At 36.9% G+C, this 21,016-nt stretch overlaps 1 pseudogene across 1 annotated transcript in view; it reads left to right on the top strand.

Annotated features, from left to right (window-relative positions):
* ANKRD20A19P (ankyrin repeat domain 20 family member A19, pseudogene) overlaps window positions 1-21,016 on the top strand; it is a 42,032-nt pseudogene that overhangs the window by 8,761 nt on the left and 12,255 nt on the right. The gene's annotated exons all lie outside the window — the stretch shown is intronic.

The following is a 21,016-nucleotide window of genomic DNA, read 5'->3' as shown; positions in this document are numbered from 1 at the left end:
TTAACTTGTGGGAAGTCGGGGTCCCCAAACGGAGGGACCGGCTGAAGCTGTGGCAGAAGAATATAAATTGTGAAGATTTCATGGACATTTATTAGTTCCCAAAATTAACACTTTTATAATTTAATACGCCTGTCTTTACTGCAGTCTCTGAACATAAATTGTGAGGATTTCATGGCCATTTATCACTTCCCCAATCAATACTCTTATAATTTCCTATGCCTATCTTTAATCTCTTAATCCCATCATCTTCGTCAGCTGAGGATATATGTCACCTCAGGACCCTGTGATGATTGTGTTAACTGTACAAATTGTAAAACATGCGTGTTTGAACAATATGAAATCAGGACACCCTGAAAAAGAACAGAGTAACAGTGATTTTCAGGGAACAAGGAAAGATAACCATAAGGTCTGACTGCCTGTGGGGATGGGCAAAATAGAGTCATATTTTTCTTCTCACAGAGAGCTTATAGATGGACGTGTGAGTAGGAGAAATATTGCTGAATTCTTTTCCCAGCAAGGAATATTAATAATTGATAATCCTGGGGAAGGAATGCATTCCCAGGGGTAGGCCTGTAGACGACCACTCTGGGATTGTCTGTCTTATGCAGTTGAGATAAGGGATGAAATACACCCTGTTCTCCTGCAGTGTCCTCAGGCTTACTAGGATTGGGAAATTCCAGCCTGGTGAACTCTAGTCAGACCGGTTGTCTGCTCTCCAACCCAGTTTCCTTTTAAGATGTTTATCAAGACAATACATGCCCAGAGGGACATGGACCCTCATCAGTAATTCTAATTTCACCCTTGCCTTGTGATCCTGCTCTGCCCTTTTGCCTTGTGATCTTTTATTGCCCTTTGAAGCATGTGATCTCTGTGACCCACTCCCTATTCGTACACCCCTCCGCTTTTGAAATCCCTAATAAAAACTTGCTGGTTTTGCAGCTCGGGGTCGCCATCACAGTCCTACCAATATGTGATGACACCCCCGGAGGACCAGCTGTAAAATTTCTCTCTTTGTACTCTTTCTGCTTATTTCTCAGACCGGCCAATACTTAGGGAAAATAGAAAAGAACCTACATTGAAATATTGGGGACTGGTTCACCTGATGTTAACTGACTTATTACCCATCCTGGCAGAAACGGCCACTTAAATAAGAGTCTAATGACTCCTCTCAAATCTAGAATGACTTGGTGGGAAAGTGGGAGATAAGGAGCTTATGAATAGCAAAATCAAGTGGGATTTTGAGTTTACTTGTCCCTGTTCTACCCAAGAGGTTGGTGAGCGGGAGGGAGACAAGGTTTTGCAAAAAGACGGTGGACAGAAAGACCATGGAGAAAGAAAAGATGGTGAGGAAAAAGTTTTTGGGTAGATGGACGGGGGAAAAGAGGGTGACAAGCAGGTTAGGGGAAAGAAGACGGCGAGTGGGAAGTTGGTGGGGAGGCTTTGTAAAAAGACGGTGGGGAAACATTTGGGGGGTAGATGGAGGAAAAGAGGATGGTGAGCAGGAGTTGGGAGAAGGCTTTGCAAAAAGACAGTGGGGAAATGTTTTTGAATAGATGGAGAAGGGAAAGCGGGTGGCAAGGTGGGGAAGACATGGGGAAAACAGTTTTTGGGAAGATGGAGGGGGAAAAGAGGGTGGTGAGCAGCAGGAGTCGGGAGAAGGCTTTGGGAAAAGATGGGGGAAATGTTTTTGGGTAGATGGAGGAGCAAAAGAGGGTGATGAGAGCTGGAGAGGGAAAAAGAAGGTGGCCAGGGAGAGGGGAAAACGACGGTGGGGAAAAACTTTTGGGTAGATGGATGGGGAAAAGGGTGGTGAGCGGGAGAGTAAAGAAGGCTTTGCAAAAAGATGGTGGGGAAAAAGTTTTGGGGTAGATGAAGAAAAAGGGTGATGACGAGAGAGCTGAAGGCTGTCAGGAAAAGAAGGTGGGGAAATAATGGTGGGGGACAAAGGTTTTGGGTAGATCTTTTTCTAATTTTTAAATCAGGTTATATGTATTTTTGCTTTTGAGTAGTTTGTGTTCTTTATCTATTTTGTGTATTAACCCCTTGCCTGATGCATAGCTTGTAAATACTTTCTTCCGTTCTCTAGATTGTTTCTTCATTCTACTGATTGCTTCCTCTGCTTTGCAGAAGCTTTTAAGTTTAATGCAATTCCATTTGTCTATTTTTGCTTTTGTTGCTTGTGCTTTTGTTGTCTATTTAAAAATTCCTTGTCCTAATCAATTTCATGAAGCATTTATCTTATTTTTTATTTTCTGGTAGTCTCATAGTTTCAGGACCTACATTGAAGTTATCTTTATTTTGAGTTAATTTTTGTATATGGTAAGATAACGGTCTAGATTGATTCTTCTACATGTGGGTGTTGGGTTTTCCTAGCACAGTTTATTGAAGAGATTGTCCTTCCCAAATGTGTGTTCCTGGTGCCTTTGTTAAAAATGAGTCGACTGTAAATGTGTAAATTTACTTTTGAGTTCTCTATTCTGTTTTATTTGTCTGTCATTTGTCTATGTCTTGTCTGTTGCTCCCTCATTCTTTTTTTTTTTGCCAGCACCATGCTGTTTTGGTTACTATACATTTATAGTATATTTTGAAATCAGGTAGTGTGATGCCTCTAGCTTTTTTCTTTTTATTCAAGATTTTTTTGTCTATCTGAGGTACGTTGCATTTCCGTGTGAATTTTAGGTTTTTTTTTTTCTATTTCTGTGAAGAATGTCTTTTGTAATTTAACATGGGTTGCATTGATCCTGTAGATCACACTGGGTGATATAGATATTTTAACAATATTCTTCTAGTGCATGAACATGAGATATCTTTCCATTTACTTGTGTCTGCTTTACTATCTTTCATCTATGTTTTATGGTTTTCATTGTGGGATCTTTCACCTTTTTGGTTGTTTGTCCTTACGTATCATTTTTTATAATGAAATAGCTTTCTTGATTTCTTTCATAGGTGTTTCACTATTGGTGCATGGGTGTGCTACTCATTTTTGTATGTTGATATTGTATCTTGCAACTTTACTAAATTTATCTAGTAGGTTTTTTTGGTGGAATTTTTAGGGTTCTTTACATATGATCATATCAGCTGCAAACAGAGACAATTTGACTTCCTTTTTTTTTCCAATTTGGATGCCTTTTATTGTATTTTCCTGTCTAATTGCTGTAGCTAGGACTTCCAGCACTATGATGAATGAAAGTGGTAAAAGTAACCACACTTGTTCCAGATCTTAGGAAGAGCTTTTTTAACTTTTCTGCATTGATCATGATGTTAGCTGTGGGTTTATCATATATGGCCTTTATTATGCTGAGATATGTTCCTTCTTGCACATTTTGTTGAGTTTTTATCATAAAGGTACGTTGAATTTTATTGTTTTCATCGTCTACTGAAATGATTATATGTTTTTTTTTTAAATGGAGTCTTACTTTGTTGCCCAGGCTGGAGTGCAGTGGTGCTCTCTCAGCTCCTCAGCTCATTGCAACCTCCACCTCCAACCCCAACCCCCTCAGGTTCAAGCAGTTCTCCTGCCTCAGCCTCCCAAGTAGCTGGGATTACACTGCCATCACGGTGGCCCTGCTTCTTTTTGTGTTTTTAGTGGAGGCAGGGTTTCACCATGTTGACTGGGCCGGTTTCAAGCTACTGACGTCTGGTGGTCCATTTTCCTTCACCTCCCAAAGTGCTGGGATTACAGGCATGAGCCGCCATACCTGGCTCTTTTTTTTTTTTTTTTTTTTGACAGCATCTTGCTCTGTAACACTGGAAGGAAATGGTAAAATCATAGCTCACTGAAGCGACAAGTTCCTTGGGTCAAGTGATCCTCGCATCTCAGCCTTCTGAGTAGATAGAAAAGGTATGAGATATTTAGGAATCTAAAAAATATATGCACAACCTCTATGAGAAATTTCTTAAACTTTGAGAGTTAATAAGATAGACTGTTAAAATGTTAATAGTTTGGGGAAACAATATTACGCCTTCTCTTTCTAAATTATACATTCAGTGCAATTCCAGTCAAAACCCTTGCTTTGTAAACTCAGCGTTTTGACTATAAAATGTATGTGAAGTTCTTTCCTCCTTTATCTTCCTGAATATTTCAGCTCACAAGTATGGGGACAAAACAGGGAATTGTGTTGACCCAGAGTTAGGGATTGTGGCATGAATTAAATGCGAAGGGCCTAAGTGTCAGAGTGTCACCCTGCACAGTGCTGGAAGACAGTTGAGAGCATTTCTGCAAGGTAGACAAAAGAAATTGAGGTATCAAAGACTGAACAATATCAGGAGCCACCCACAGATGGATGAAAAATGGGTCTTCAGCATCTTAGGGGGGTAAGGATAAGTCATCTACCTAAGAGGGCAGCCTGGGACAGGGTGTTTGAGGAAGGATGGGGTGAAGATGGCATCCATTTGGAAGGAAAATTGGTGGAGGCAACCAATGAAAGGTGCAAGAGTCCCAAGTGGGAGTGAAGAGTATACCTACGTAGGAGCAAGGACACAGGAGATTGGTTACACACAGGAGATGAAATGAATAAATAACAGCAAGTCCTGGAATAATGTCATTTTGTTATAACATTGATGACAAAAATATATATACTGGCCAAAGCCACTGTGTGTATGGAGTTTACACGTTTTCCCCATGTCTGCCTGGGTTTTCTCCAGATACTCTGGTTTCCTCCCACATCCCAAAACTGGGCACAGGTTAACTGACATGTCTAAATGGTCCCAGTGTGAGTGACTGCGGGTGTGTGTGAGTGCACTGTACAATAGCATGTCCAGAGTTGGTTCCCACCTGGGGCCCTGAGCCACTAGATAGGTTCCAGTCCTCTGCTACCCTGAACTGGAATAAGCATGTTGGACAAGGAACAAATAAATGAGTGCAAATTACTATAAAATAAAAATTTGTGAAGTCCATGATAATCACAGATGTTGCAATACACAACGATTTGGTACAAAAGTGCTTCATGAACCTGCCATATTTGTGATTGGTTCTGACTGCATGGAGGTAGGAGGTGATTCTTACAAAATGCACCTTGCCAGCATTCATTTCTTGATTTAACCCACTGCCACTACAATCGCCATCACTCACTGATTCACCAAAAATTGGATGAATGGTATCTATTACTCTTCCTTAAATGTATGCAGAGCTAGCATTCATTTTAATGTTTAATATTACAAGTGTTTTTGTCTGTATTGACATGTTTGGTGATGTTTTTTGGCCAGAAATGTGTCATAGGAACAGATCTTTTGTTTATATCAGTTAGCCTACAGTTAAAACTGGTTTCGTTTCACATCTTCCACTTATTTTCCAAGAAGACCTATTAAATCATGTTAAGTGAGGACTTACTATATACTAAGGATGAAGGGAGCCAGGTTGTGTCAGAAAAGGGAATTACAAATATAGTTGACCCTTGAACAACATGGTTTGAACTGCATGAGTCTACTTACAAGCAGCTTTTTATTTCAATAAATAGACTGAAATTTTTTTTGGAGATTTGTGACAATTTGAAACAGCTTATAGATGAGCTGCATAGCCTAGAGATAAACAAGTTAAGAAAAAGTTATGTCATGAATGCATAATATATATGTAGATACTCATGTATTTCATCATTACTACCATAAAATATATATAATCTATTATAAAAAATACGATTTATTAAAATTTACACATGGTATGTGGCACCATTCACAGCCAAGAGAAAGGTAAACAAACAAAGATGCAGCATTAAACCATAACTGCGTAAAATTAACTATAGTGTACACTGTACTACTGGAATGATTTCATAGCCACCTGTGGTACTGCAGTGAGCAGAACTGTTGCAAGTATTTCCTTAAAATGCTTTGTGATGCTAATCATCTCCACATGAGCAGTTCATCCATCCAAGAAATTGTGTCTCATGGGAAAAAGTGATGATTTATGGTTCTTACATATTTTTCATTGTTTTTAATGCAATACTGTGGAGTCAAATAACACCACGGGACCCATACAGAGTGCCACCATTGATGCTGGAAGGCTCCCAAGAAGTAAAGAAGTCATGACATTGTATTAAAAAGTCTGAAATTGTCAAAATATAACATTTCTTAAAAGAAAAGTTTTTTAAAAATTAACAAATTATACACTATTGGAGAAAATAACCCATGAATCCTTATTGATACAAGTAAATGAATAAATTGAAGGTTTTATGAGGAAGAGATACTTACGTAGTTTCAAATTACCTCCCCACAAGATATTAATTAACAGGACAAATCAAAATTGTAGGACACATGGTAAGATGCAGTGAGACGATTACAGGATCACTTCTGTGATACACTTTACCAAAAATGTAAAATCTCTTTGTACCCCAGACCTCAGCATGATGCAATATACTCATGTAACAAAGCTGCACATGTACTCCCTGGAACTAAAAGTTGAATTTTTTAAAAAGTATAATTTAAATCTAATCACAATGAAACATCAGATAAACCCAATTGTCGAACATTCTACATTACTGGACTTTACTCTTTGAAAGATTCAAGGTCATAAGGTCAAGGGAAAACTGAGGAACTGCTCCAGACGAAGTCTAAGAGACAGAAGAACTAAATGCAATCCACGGGTCTGAATGCATTAAGTAATTTTTCTTAAAATTGTTGCATATTTTCGGCCAGGCGCGGTGGCTCACGCCTGTAATCCCAGCAGTTTGGGAGACCGAGGCGGGAGGATCACCTGAGGTCAGGAGTTTGAGACCAGCCTGACCAACATGGTGAAACTCTGTCTCTACTAAAAATACAAAATGAGCTGGGCATGGTGGCGCACACCTATAATCCCAGCTACTTCGGAGGTTGAGGCAGGAGAATCACTTGAGCCCGGGAGGCAGAGGTTGCAGTGAGCTGAGATCCAGCCATTGCACTCCAGCCTGGTCAAAACGAGTGAAACTCCATCTCAAAAAAAAAAAAAATTGTTGCATATTCTCATGATGCTTTTCAAACTTGATTTAGATGTAACTCATCAGCAGATCCTGAGTAGATCCTGCAGAAGAGGATAGATTCCATATAGAGGACTCAGATTCAAATTCAGCAGCACCTGGAAGGAAAATGAAAGAATGATGTTCTTTACCTAAAATATTTCACAGTTAGCTAAGTGTCAGTCAGTAAAAAAAAAGTTGAGAAATTTATCTGTGTCAATAGGAAGGAAAAATATGTATGACCACAATACAAAATTAACTATTTAATATTGAATATAATCTGCCCGTAGGTGTGCTTTGAATTGACTATCACTGTGGTTAAGTACCAGAGCTTCTAGTTTTCTCACCCTTCATTCCTGTATTCAGCAACCATGTGACAATAAGCACTGGAATGACAAGATGAAGATGATCAGTTCACTCCTCAAAAATCATATGCTACAACTTGAAAAAACAAACAGGCAATTTCCTTACAGAATCATAGATAACATGACAGGTATACAACACGACACTATTGGAACACACAGAAGGGACACCTATCCCAGTTTTGTGTCAATATTGCAATATTGCAGGCTTTTTGGTGGAGGCACTATATAGGTTCATATCTGAAAAACAAGGAAAAAGTATGACAGAGGGCAGAAGCAAATGCAAAGAGATGAGCAAGAGCACTGTGGAAATCTATGTAGTCTAGTTTGGCTGGATGCTAGAGCACAAGGGTAGAGTAGGGTATGTGGCAAAAGACAAGGCTGAATAACTTGACAAGAACCAAGTTGATGGAGATGTTTTCACTGCATGCCAAGCAACTTAGAGCATTTCCTGAGCACAAAAGTAAACCAATGACAAAGTAAATAATTGGAGATTTAGAATGTCATCTGTCAAATAACTGTTTTTGAACTGTAATTGCTTGGCTAAGTATTATCAGATGACTCTGGTCTTTTGGCCTTAAATTACTACTATGACTTTAAGAAGATGACGACTTTGTTTCCTGAATTCAGTTTCAGCGTGCTGCCTGACAGTTCCATAGGGATGGCAGAAGTGAAGACTATGTAGAGCCAAAACAAAAGAGATACTTAGACTTTTTGAGACCTTTTTAAAGCTATGGAACATGATAAATTAATGAGGCAAAAGTATACTCTTCATTATGAGTATGTGTTTCTATCTTTCATTAAATGTGCATAAGAAAAAATACTTACTGTAGCATTTATGAACCAGACAATGGAGAGGAAAGCCATTTGCTATTTACAGTTTATTTCAGTAATCAAGCTAAATTTAGTTAATAAATTTTGGCAATATACCTTCTTCTATTTCTCTAGTTTTATTTTCTATCAATCCTTGCTGAATCTGAAATAAGCCAAATATTTATAATGTTTAAGTTACACAAGAGAAATTACCATGGAAATGATATATCACTTACAAAATGTCATCTCTCCTACTTGTAGAGACGAGACCTAACTTGAGGATTGCCTAAATAGAAAAATTAACTACATAAATAAAATAAAATTCCTACTTATTTTAAGTTTAGATAAAAGAGAATATATATGTGTAATGCTGTTGACATTAGTCTGATAAAAGTTACAATTAACCTTGGTCTACTGAATGTACATCTTTCAGAAGAGTGAGGTTTTCTTTTACTAGTTACAAAGGTTAAGCAAATCGACTCATAGTTTGCAACAAATGCATTATTTTCTAATTCTTAGCAAAACTCTGCCTGCCCTTTATAAGAATTCAATCTGTGTTTTCTTTTCATTTTGGTAGATTTCTCCTTAAAATAAACTTTCCGTTCTCCTCCTTTAGAAAATTAAAATTTTAGATACATTCCATGTTATTAACTTTTCAGGACAGAATCTTAAATATGTACCTGAAGAAAGTGGTACTGTCATAATATGTGAAAATTCTACTGGTAAAATATTAAGTAATCATATTATTCTATCTGTATTACAACTAACATTTTTATTCATATGGAAAAAAAGATTTTGGAAATTTCACTTGAAAAAAATATATATTAGAACCAGTTTACAAACTTGGTTTATTTCATGACCTGTTAGAATTAGAAACAAAGAAACAATATATAGCTCTATATTTGTATATAGCTCTTTTAAGCTTTTCAGAAATTAGAACCAATTTTTGAAACATCTAGCTAACTATAGTTATCTACTTAGTTATGAAATTGTGGGGATACTTCAAATTATATTGCAAGTGTCTCCCATCTAGTGTTTTATTTAAATCTTTGGTGCAAAAGGTATTCCCTCACTGAATGCCCAGAAAAGAATCTGAAATTGTTTACTAAACATAAGACTTTTTGGTGATAATGACAATATGATATACAATGCCTTTACAAATTTTTGACTAATAGCTTTCCCAATATTTTGAGAGACAGTTTTCCATAATCTTTCTGTGATTATAACATTATAGACAGCCCTTATAAAATTAATGACATGACAATGGCATTACAAGAAAGGTTTTATAAAAGTAATAACTCGACCAGGCGTGGTGGCTCATGCCTGTAATCCCAGCACTTTGGGAGGCCAAGGCAGGCAGATCACGAGATCAGGAGATCGAGACCATCCTGGCTAACACGGTGAAATCCCCTCTCTACCAAAAATACAAAAAATTAGGGCATGGTGGCGGGCGCCTGTAGTCCGAGCTACTTGGGAGGCTGAGGCAGGAGAATGGCGTGAACCCGGGAGGCGGAGCTTGCAGTGAGCGGAGATGGCGCCACTGCACTCCAGCCTGGGCGACAGAGCGAGACTCCGTCTCAAAAAAAAAAAAAAGTGATAACTCAATACCAGGTAAAGGGAGAAGCCTTTATTGAAAGAATGTTATATTATCATTAATGAACACTATGTAAAATGTACATTTTTACATGACTTGTATGTAATATACATATATGTATATGTATTTTATATGTATACATATGAAACGTATATATATGCACATAAAATATGAAATATGTATATATGCACATAAAATATGAAATATGTATATATACACACATATAAAATATATACACATATAAAATGTGTGTATATATATAATTCCTTCATGTAGCTTTTTACAAATAAAAGTTTTATTCTAAAAAAATTTTCAGTTATGAAAGTCATTTAGTCAAACTTTTTAATTTTACGTACAAGGTAACACAGTCTCAGAGAGATTATAGCTTGCCTATGGTCATTAAGCCCATTAGCTCCAACCCAAGAAAGGGCTTTAAGTTTTCTTACTGAACTTGAAGTTTATGCCAGCTACTTCCTGCGTATTCAGGAAAAATGTATAGATTTTTAAATATAACTCAGGGAAAATGCATATGTAAAACTGTCATGTAACTCAATCACGTTTGGGTAAGAGACATAAAAGGTAGTTCTCTAGCTAAGTTATGATTTCTGAAGTCATGAATAAAAATTAACAAACAACTGTTAATACATCTTTGTTAGTTGCAGTCACTACTCAATTTATTTTGTAAAGAACAAAAATATTTTACAGAAAAGGGAACTTGAAGGAGGAAAACTTCAGTTGAACCAGGCAAGCTGAATTAGAGAAATTCAGCTGTTTCTTTAACAGAACTATATATTTATCCAAATAAGAGTTGGTTTACTAAAATCAATCAACAAAAGAATTATCCACATTGTGGGTTATTCACAGCAAAATTGAAAACGTAAGACACATTTCTCTTTACCATCTAGTATACTTCTATCCAACCTGTTACCGATAGTTGGTACATACAACCTGTTATCGATAGTTGGTACATAGAAATTAAGACATTGGCTTAATTTCTATCATAATTTAAATCCACACAGAAATGATATGAGAATCTTCATTTCCCTGGCCTTAAGTTTCCAAATGAGAACTTACACTCTGTCTATCTTTCTTTGGAGGGGAGGGAAGATTTACCTAATGGGTGAATTTGTGTGAAGTACATTGCATGTGCTTGCTTGGCTCTGTGTTACTTTGAAAATATGTGTCTGCCGGCCAGGCACGGTGGCTCACGCCTGTAATCCCAGCACTTTGGGAGGCCAAGGTGGGCGGATCACGAGGTCAGGAGATCGAGACCATCCTGGCTAACACGGTGAAACACTGCCTCTACTAAAAATACAAAAAAAAAAAAAAAAATTAGCCGGGCGTGGTGGCGGGAGCCTGTAGTCCCAGCTACTCGGGAGGCTGAGGCAGGAGAATGGTGTGAACCCGGGAGGCTGAGCTTGCAGTGAGCCAAGATCGCACCACTGCACTCCAACCAGCCTGGGCAACAGAGCGAGACTCCGTCTCAGAAAAAAAAAAAAATATGTGTCTGCCCACAGTGATACGAATTCAGGTCTGCTGCTCTGCAGTAAGCTGCCTGCTCCTGAGATAGGTGTTAAGCATCTGTTTTCTCCACTTACCACTGTGTGGGTAAGTGCCTAATCTGGGAATTAAACTAATCTGAAGTATTCAGAAGCCCACTCTGGCTGCTCATCTGAGCCATATCCTCCTATTAGTCATTACATGTGAGTAATAAAGCAGCTATGTCTGACTCCATATGTCTGACTCCTATGTTCTGATCTCAAAAGGGAAAGAGGAGCATTATTTATTGCCTCCCCTCCAAATAACCCCAACAAGAAAGGTGACTACACAACACTTATTGAAATGTTTTCTTCTTCTTTGACTTTGTATTCTTACTGTACATTCTTCAACACAACCCTCACTTTAAACAGGTGAAGAGTTGGAAGTTTTTAGACAAAAGTTATATAGTGAAATCAATAAAAATAGCAAAGCCAAACAAATACAAAGTTCACTCATTCAACAAGAACTTAATGATAGGCTGATGTTAAATTAGTCTTGTGATTAGAGGTTGGAAAATACTGCTGCATTCACTTTTTCAGACCATATCGATAAATACACAGCACACACACATAGTTCCATAGTTAATATGCCTTCGGTAGGTATTGATGTTTCAAAATTAAAATTTGATATCATTCTCTATTTTAAGGAGCACTCAGATGTTACAAAAAATAAGTATGTTCTCAAATGCAGTAAAATCAAATGTGTGCCCATTTAAACCACTGCAATTCAATGACAAATTGTAAATAGGTTCATGTATGAAGGAAAGTACACTTGTTGGTTTCTAAGGATGAAACACATGTATTTTGTCACAAAGAAAATAACTGGGGAATCATCTGTTGATGGAGGAGCTGAAGGACTAAGTATAGAGTCACACATATATTTAAAGACCTAGTTAAAAAAAAAAAAAAACTAAGAGAAAAGTAATTAGAAGAATTCGAGAGGGTACCTGAAACCTTCCAAGTATAAAATGACTACTGGGCATTTGGCTAAGTGGATAAAGGGAAAACAGGAAGAATTATATAGAGCCTAAAAATGAAATAATAAAGAAGTTTATCAAACTGTCTTTGCTCTCTGAGTAATTAGCATAAGTATTATGATTGATTGAGTTAAAATTCAGAGTAGACAAGCATTGCCTTAGTGATGCAAAAAGGACTATTTTATTTGGGAAAAACATGCAACTCAACATTCTGAGGAGACACAATGTTCTATCATGTAAAAACAAAATCTTAGAAACATTGTTTTAACTTTGATGTGTCTGTAAAATCCCATTTAGAAAAAGAATTGCTAAACTAAATGAACATTTGAGAAGTAGAAAAATTCCTTAAATTAATAATTAGAAATCTTTTGAAAGTGTCAGTAATCACCAAAAGTTTAAAACCAATCCATGTAAAAATGAGTCTTCCTGTATCAAGCATTTTTAAAAAGGATTTACCCAGTGACTACTGTGTGCCATGCGCTGTGTTAGGCACACAAATACTAAACAGCTTCTGAACGTTAAAAAAGTTGAACCATCCACAGGCACCAAGTGGTCAAAAGAACTAAAATTAAAATAAACTTTAGATAAATTTTTTATTTTATAAAATTGGAATAATTTTTTAAGATTTAAGTTATTAGAAAATATTCTGATATGCAGAAGAATCCAAGTGATGGATCTGTTCAGGCTAATGTTGATTTTTGTATTTTATAATAATACTGAGTAAAGAACCAATAAAACTCTGACATTACTTCTGATATATACAACAAACCATCTCAGAATTAAACTAGAATAAAAATTGAAAGCAAAAATTAGCAAAACACATGTAATAAGCTATTATTAATATAATAATGTTAAGTGCAAGGCTAAACTTCATGTAATGGGGAGAGATACAAGAAATGCTAACTTACAAACATATAAAAACTTGCTTCAACAACCAGTACAACTGAAATCACATACTAGAAAAATATTATAATCATTTTCCTTAAAGTTAAAAAATGCTGCATAAGGTAGAGTTTCACAGTAGGAATGGTCCAAAATTTTAAAACCTTGCAAATAAATGAGATGGATAAACAAATTCAGTATTAATGCTATTTTTAACATTTTTTGTAGAATTTGATTTTTAAATTTTAACAGTTTGCTTTCTAGAATCATAGCAAAAAGGTCTAAACATCGTCTTGTTTTGTAATGACTCTCTAAAAACCCACCCTTTTCTATTATGTTAGATAGTATGTTATCACCTCTCACAGTCTTATTTGATGTTTTCCTAGTGAAAATAATTAAATTCCTAGCAACCCCAAAAGTCACCTACCTTCTGTAACTCTAAGAATTTTGTTAGCAACAACTATATAAGAAATCTTTGAAGGCATTCTGCAGGGATTATAGAGACATATCTTTGTATCTTGATAGAATTGTGCATTTTAATGTCTTTTATTAAGTCTAACATGATTTGGAAAACTAATGCCCCACAAGGAAACCATTGTGGTTTACATTACCACAATGGTACTTGGAACTAATACATTAAGTTTTAAATAAACTTTTTGGACTTACCTATAAACGCTAAAAACACCTCTTTCTCTCAAAAAACTTAAAATATTTCCTCAAAAACCTTCCTTTGCATGGCCCCTGCATTTGCATATTTTTTTCTTCTTTTTGAGATGGAGTCTCGCTTTGTCACCCAGGCTGGAGTCCAGTGGCATGATCTCGGCTCACTGCAACCTCCGCCTCCCGGGTTCAAGTAATTTTCCTGCCTCAGCCTCCTGAATAGCTGGGATTACAGGCACGTGCCACCACATCCAGCTAATTTTTGTATTTTAGTAGAGACGGGGTTCCAGCATGTTGGCCAGGCTGGTCTCAAACTCCTGACCTCAGGTGACCCACCTGCTTTGGCCTCCCCAAGTGCTGGGAAGGCATGAGCTACCACACCTGGCTTTGCATTTACACATTTTTCATCATCATCTTGTAAAATGATACATTTCTGATTTTTCTGGTAAGAACTAGTGAGAACATTTTATATTTGCAACATGCTTAACAATTTACAGAAGTGTTTAACATTTATTTTCTTTTTGTATCCAGTAGTACAATTTTAGGACTCTGAAGCACTTAGACCCAAATGAGATCATCTCATTTTTTTCAGAAAAATAAAACTAAGCTAACAAAATAAAATATCAGCTAGCTAGGATCTTATAATTTTGGTATTAAAGCAATCATTTAATGTGTACTCTTTTAAGCTATTTAGTTAGGGACGTTCTTTAGGAAACCTTAGATTTTCTCTTCTATGATTTGTTAGCACATGAAGCCAGACAAGGAAACCAGGTTGAGGTCTCACTTAACACAGGCATGCACTACTATTCTCTGCATTAAGGAGATTATGAAATCGCCATCAAAACTGTAAGCCAATGTGCATTGATTGAAATGGACATTTTAATAACAGTGATACATGAAGAAAACTACTTGCTATTTATTTTTGTTCAAATAAATCTTTTATGGCTTTTGTAGATTTTTTTAGACAGGGTCTCTCTGTATTGCTCAGGCCGGAGTGCAGTAGCTATTCACAGGTGAGGTTATGTCACACTACAGCCTTGAACTCTTGCGCTCAAGTGATCTTGCCTCCCCAGCCTCCCAAGTAGCTGGGCTACAGATGCACACCACTGCACCCAGTTTTTAGAACTGTCCTGCCAGGTGTAGTGGCCCACACCTGTAATCTGAGCTCTTTGGGAGACTGAGGCACTGGATAACTTGAGCCCAGGAGTTCAGGACCAGCCTGGGCAACATAATGAAACCCAAAATACAAAAATACAAAAAATGAACTAGGCATGGTGGCACACACCTGTAGTCCCAGCTACTTGGCAGGCTGAGGTGGGAGGATCACCTGAGCCCAGGAAGTCCAGGCTGTAGTGAGCTGTGATTATGCCACTGCACTCCAGGCTGGGTGACAGAGTAAGACCCTGTATCCAGAAATAAATAAATAAATTTCCCTCTAGTCAAAAAATGACCAAACATTAGACAAATATCTTAAACTGGGTCAAGCATAGTTGAACTATATTTCTTTTACTTACCAACTCTACAATTAGTGTAGTTTGTTGTTGTTAGATTCATCTTGAGATCCCCAGAAATTGATTCTTAATATGAGTGAAATCACATGACTGGACTGGAAGGTTCCTGGCACATCTCCGGGGGAGATGGGGACACTGTGTGGCTTTATGGAATTCTGGGTAGAAATAATGTAATTGATTGTTTGGTTGTAATTGCTATTTAAAGACTCTTGATAACTTTGCCGTCTTAGTCATCAATCATTCAAGTGATGGCAACATATAAAGACATAAGGGAACTTATTTTTAAAATTCAAATCATTGTTTGATTTAACTATTTAAAAACTTGAGTAATTGGCTAGCAATAGATATATTTTACAAAAATTGAAACTAAAATGCTGTAGGTGACAATCACAATTAAGGATGTACTGTTAGGTAAGGAAATGACAAAATTTTAACTTAAAAAATCTATTTAGTGCTATATGTTTACTTAATTCATAAAAGTATTTATTTTGGATTCCTTTAAATAATAGACATCCGTATGTGGTTAAATGTTTGGATGTCAATCATTCACTTACGATTAGGGGTGGAAAACTGAGGCTGGCACTGGAAAACAAAAATATTATGAACCAAAGTAAAATCAATTAGAAAGCCAAAGCATCTCAAAGTCTGTCTTTAGTTATCAAACAATAATATTCCATTTCTAAAATTTAGCTTTAATGCAGCTTTTAAAGAAATTGAAAATGTGTCAGTTACAATAAATGTTACATTTACTGAATAAAAGTTAACAAATGTTTATCTCTTGAAAATGAGAGCTCCAGGGACTGAAAAAAACTATAAAACTTTTATTTGCTTTCTTTATCAATACAAATTATTATAACTTTTACTTACCACGCCTAAGTCAATGAAACAACTCAGTATTTCACCAAATTAAAAACAAGAATTATATCGTAAAGATGAAATGCAAAGGAAAAAGGTAATATAACTAACCTTGAATCAGTAGTTCTTCACGCCATTTTTTGAAGTCAGTAGGCTTGAGGTAGGGATGACTAAGTCTTCCCTTGGAGTAATTTTTCCCTTAAGACCTAACCTATTATTAAGATTTCTAGGTCTGGCGTGGTGGCTCACACCTGTAATCCCAGCACTTTTGGGAAGCTGAGGTGGGTGGATTGCTTGAGCTCAGGAGTTCAAGACCAGTCTGGGCATCATGGTGAAACCCTGTCCCTACCAAACATACAAAAACTAGCTGAGCATGGTGGCACACACCTGTGGTTCCCACAACTCAGGAGGCTGAAGTAGGAGAATCTCTGGAGCCCGGGAAGTCAAGGCTGCAGTGAGCCAAGATTGAGCCACTGCACTCCAGCCTGGGTGACACAGCGAGACCGTTTCTAAAACAAAAACAGAAACAAAAATCCTTGAGTGTCCAACACAAGATGACTGTAGGACTAACCCAGTAGGATGAGTCTGAAAAAAGCTCTGGTCCACTCTTTCTCTACCTTCTCTACCAGATGTCTGGTACTGGCCTCTGCTTGCCTCTCATGAGTTCTGTGAAGATTGCAAAAGATAAGTGTAAGTAAAATTTTTTATTAAATAGTGTTTTAACACCAAAAATATGTCAGAGCTTGTCTACTGTATGCGATTGTAGTTTTAAAATTGTTCTAAAGAAATGCACAACGTGCAGGTTTGTTGCATATGTATACATGTGCCATGTTGGTGTGCTGCCCCCATTAACTCATCATTTACAATAGGTATTTCTATTAATGCCATCCTTCCCCCCTCCCTGCACCCCAGTGCGTGATGTTCCCCACCCTGTGTCCAAGTGTTCTCGTTGTTCAGTTCCCACCTATGAGTGAGAACATGCGGTGTTTGGTTTTCTGTCCTTGCGATAGTTTGCTCAGAATGATGGTTTCCAGCTTCATCCATGTCCCTACAAAGGACATGAACTCATCCTTTTTTATGGCTGCATACTATTCCATGGTGTTAAAGTATTATAATAATAATAAAAAAAAGAAGTACATGTATTTCTAGGAGGATTTCTAAGAAACAAGTACTTCCAACAAATTAGGGAAAAAGAAAAATTGCTGTTTTTGATTACTTGCTGACATCACAATATTTTGGCTATACTGTGTTACAAAATTGGTGTTACCTATTTATTTTTAATTTTTATAACGTGGCTCCTAGAACATTTAAAGTCATATATGTGGCTTCTGCTGTTCAAATTACTTTTTTACTGGTCTAGACCTTTTTTTTATTTTAACCACATATCCACCTAGGTGTTCCACTTGCATCTCTATCTCAGAAAATCTCAAGCCAGTTTCTCTCTTTCTCCAAATACACTTTTTCCATATCTTATTTTCTCAAGACAGAAGCCAAAACCATTGCTCCCACCCCCAAATGCCTAGTGAATACTATTGATTTTGTCTCCACAATCTCTTGATTCCAGTAGTTTCCCTCCAGATCTACTGACCTGTCCTAGCTGAGGCGTACACTCTTTCTTCCTGGATTATTGCACCATCCTCCTATATGAAATCCTTGAATTCAGTCTCACTCTCTCAAACCAGAGTAGCTGTTTTCTAAAGGAAATCTTATTTCCTCATCTTCCTGCTTGAAATGTCTCAGTTCCTTCCCATCTAGCTTAGTGTGACACAATTGTGCCCCAGTCTGGCTCTGGTCTACTTGCCCAGTTTTATTTACTATCTCTCCATAACAGGTGCCCTAAATTCTAGCCACACCAACGGCTTTCAGTGCTCTGAATGCGTCCCTCCATGCCTGGGTACTTTAGCCATGCTTTTCCCCAGTCAGACATTGTAGGCTGGGCACCTTCCAAGGCAAATCTTAGGCCCCACTTCAAACACTTCAATGGCCATGACTCAGGGGCTCTTCCAGGAGCCATGCAGATTACTCTCAGATTCCCCATACTCCATGCATGTCATACATCTCTATTCAATGCAACACCATGCTGAATTAGAATTGCCGATTTTAAGATGGTCACTGTTTCAGATGCATTTTGACACTCTTAAAAGTGACTGATACTGAGCAGGTCTTGACTGGATAAATCCCTCAATCTTTTCTCCCGGCCCTATCACCTTGCCTACATTTTTCTCTTGCCTGAGTCTTAACAGGTAACACTTGCTGCCTTCTGGAATGGCTCTGCTGATAAGATTCTTGGGGATGCCATTTAGAAATACTTGCATTTAAAGAGTATGTGGGATGATGAATATGTTAATTTACTTGACTACAATAACCATTTCACTATGTATAAATATGTCAATATATCATGTTTTACTTCTTAAATATATGTAATTAATAAACCAAGACTTTTTTAAAAGCCAGAAATGATTGTGTTTAGGAAACCAATTTAGATATTTTAAAAATTAGCCCTCAAAGACGTTTTCAAGTATTTTTTTTCAGCACCCTTGTACAAGTCACTCATTACCTGGGAAAAATTAAGCATTTGACATTGAGGAATAATTCAGAGCAACAATTTTAGAGAAGAATGAGAGAGCTGAGCTGGTAATCAAAAAGAACTAAAGCCATCTTCAAAGGCAGTTAGCTCCTAGCATTGTAACCACAGCACCAGAGGTGGGGCCTGCCCTCTGTCTTGCACACATCCCCCTCAGGCTGAGCAAGGTGTTATTTTTAACTACTTTGTGAATTACAATTCCCCTCATGCCTATGTTAATCATTCCCCATTTCACAAGGATGCCCTTCTGTAATGAAAAAACTGTACAGGATAGTTTGTCTCAAGGCGCCCTCTAGTGGTAATACCAGAGATCACAATCAAAGAAAGTTAATTTACCGAGTGCCAGAATGTGCCAAGAGTAATAATAGTACTTGACTTTTTAAAAAATAAAACTGTCTTTATTCACAAATTACTTTATTGAATAACTAGGAAATCCAATCGACAACAAGAACAATACAAACTTCTGGAACAAATAAGTGAGTTTAGCAAGGTCTCAAAATACAAGATTAATATACAAAAGCCCATTTCTTTCCTATATGTCAATAAAGAGCAATTCGAATTTGAAATTTTAAAAAATACAGTTTACAATAGCATCAAAAAATAATGAGGTATTTACAATTATACATGTAACAAAATACATACAGGATATATATGTGAAAAACTACAAAACACTGATGAATCAGAATATTTAAATACATGGAGAGAGAGTTCATGTTCGTATATTGGAAGACAATTTTTTAAAATAATTTCAACTTGTGTTTTAGATTCAGGGAGCCCACGTGCAGGTTTGTTACGTGGCTGTATTGCATGATGCTGAGGTTTGCATTGTGATTGATTCCATCACCCAGGTACTAAGCATAGCACCCAAGAGTTAGTTTTTCACACATTGCCCACTTCTTGCCCTCTGCCATTTAGTAGTCCCCAGTGTTTATTATTGCCACCTTTATGTCTATGAGTACCCAATGTTTAGCTGCCACTTACAAGTAAGAGCATGCAGTATTTAGTTTTCTGTTAATTTTATGTTAATTTGCTTAGGATAATGGCATCCAGCTGCATCCATGTTGCTGCAAGAAAACATGATTTCATTCTTTTTTATGGCCATAGTGTATATGTACCACATTTTCTTTATCCAGTTCACCATTGATGGGCACCTAGGTTTATTCCATGTCTTTGCTATTGTGAAACGTGCTGCCATGAACATAGGAGTGCATATGTCTTTTTGGAAGAATGGTTTATTTTCTTTTGTATATATACTCAGTAATGGAATTGCTGGGTTGAATGCTAGTTCTAAGTTTTTTGAGAAATCTTCAAACAGCTTTCTATAGTGGCTGAACTAAATTACACTCCCACCAGCAGTGTATAAGCATTCCCTTTTCTCTACCGCCTTGCCAGCATCTGTCATTTTTTGACTTTTTAATAATAGCCATCCTGATGATATCTCACCATGGTTTCGATTTGCATTTCTCTGATGATTAATGAGGTTGAGTATTTTTTTTTCATATGTTTGTTGGCCACCCTGTGTCTTTTTTGAGAACTGTCTCTTTACATCTTTTGCCCACTTTTTAATGGGGTCATTTGCTTTTTGCTTGTTGAATTGTTTAGGCTCCTTATAGATTCTGGATATTAGACCTTTTTCAGATGCATAGTTTGCAAATATTTTATCCCATTTTGTAGGTTGTGCGTTTACAGTGTTGATAGTTTATTTTGCTGTGCAGAAGCTCTTTAGTTTAATTAGGTTCCACTTGTCAATTTTTGTTTCTGTTTCAAATGTTTTGAGGACTCCAAATTCTTTCTTAAGGCCAATGTATAGAATGGTATTTTCTAGGTTTTCTCCTAGGACTCTTATAGTTTGAAATCTTACATTTAAATCTTTAATCCATCTTGAGTTAATGTTTGTATATGGTATAAGCTAAGGGGGTCCAGTTTCATTCTTCTGCACATGGCTAGCCAGTTATGCCAGCACCTTTTATTGAATAGGAAGTCTTTTCCCCATTATTTATTTTTGTCTAATCTGTTGTAGATCAGATGATTAGAGGTGTGCATCTTTATTTCTTGGGTCTCTATACTGTTCCAGTGGTCTATGTGTCTATTTTTGTGCCGGTATCATGTTGTTCTGGTTAATGTAGCCTGATAGGATATAGTACAAAGTCGGGTCATGTAATGCCTTAAACTTTGTTCTTTTTGCTTAGGACTTCTTCGGCTATATGGGCTCTTTCTCGGTTCCATATGAGGATTAGAACAGTTTTTTCCTAATTCTGTGAAAAATGGCATTGGTAGTTTGATAGAAATAGCATTGAACTTATAGATTGTTTTGGGC

Source organism: Homo sapiens, chromosome 13 (assembly GCF_000001405.40).
Source record: "Homo sapiens chromosome 13, GRCh38.p14 Primary Assembly".
NCBI classification, from domain to species: Eukaryota; Metazoa; Chordata; class Mammalia; order Primates; family Hominidae; genus Homo; species Homo sapiens.
This window is presented reverse-complemented; position numbering and strand designations above follow the sequence as displayed.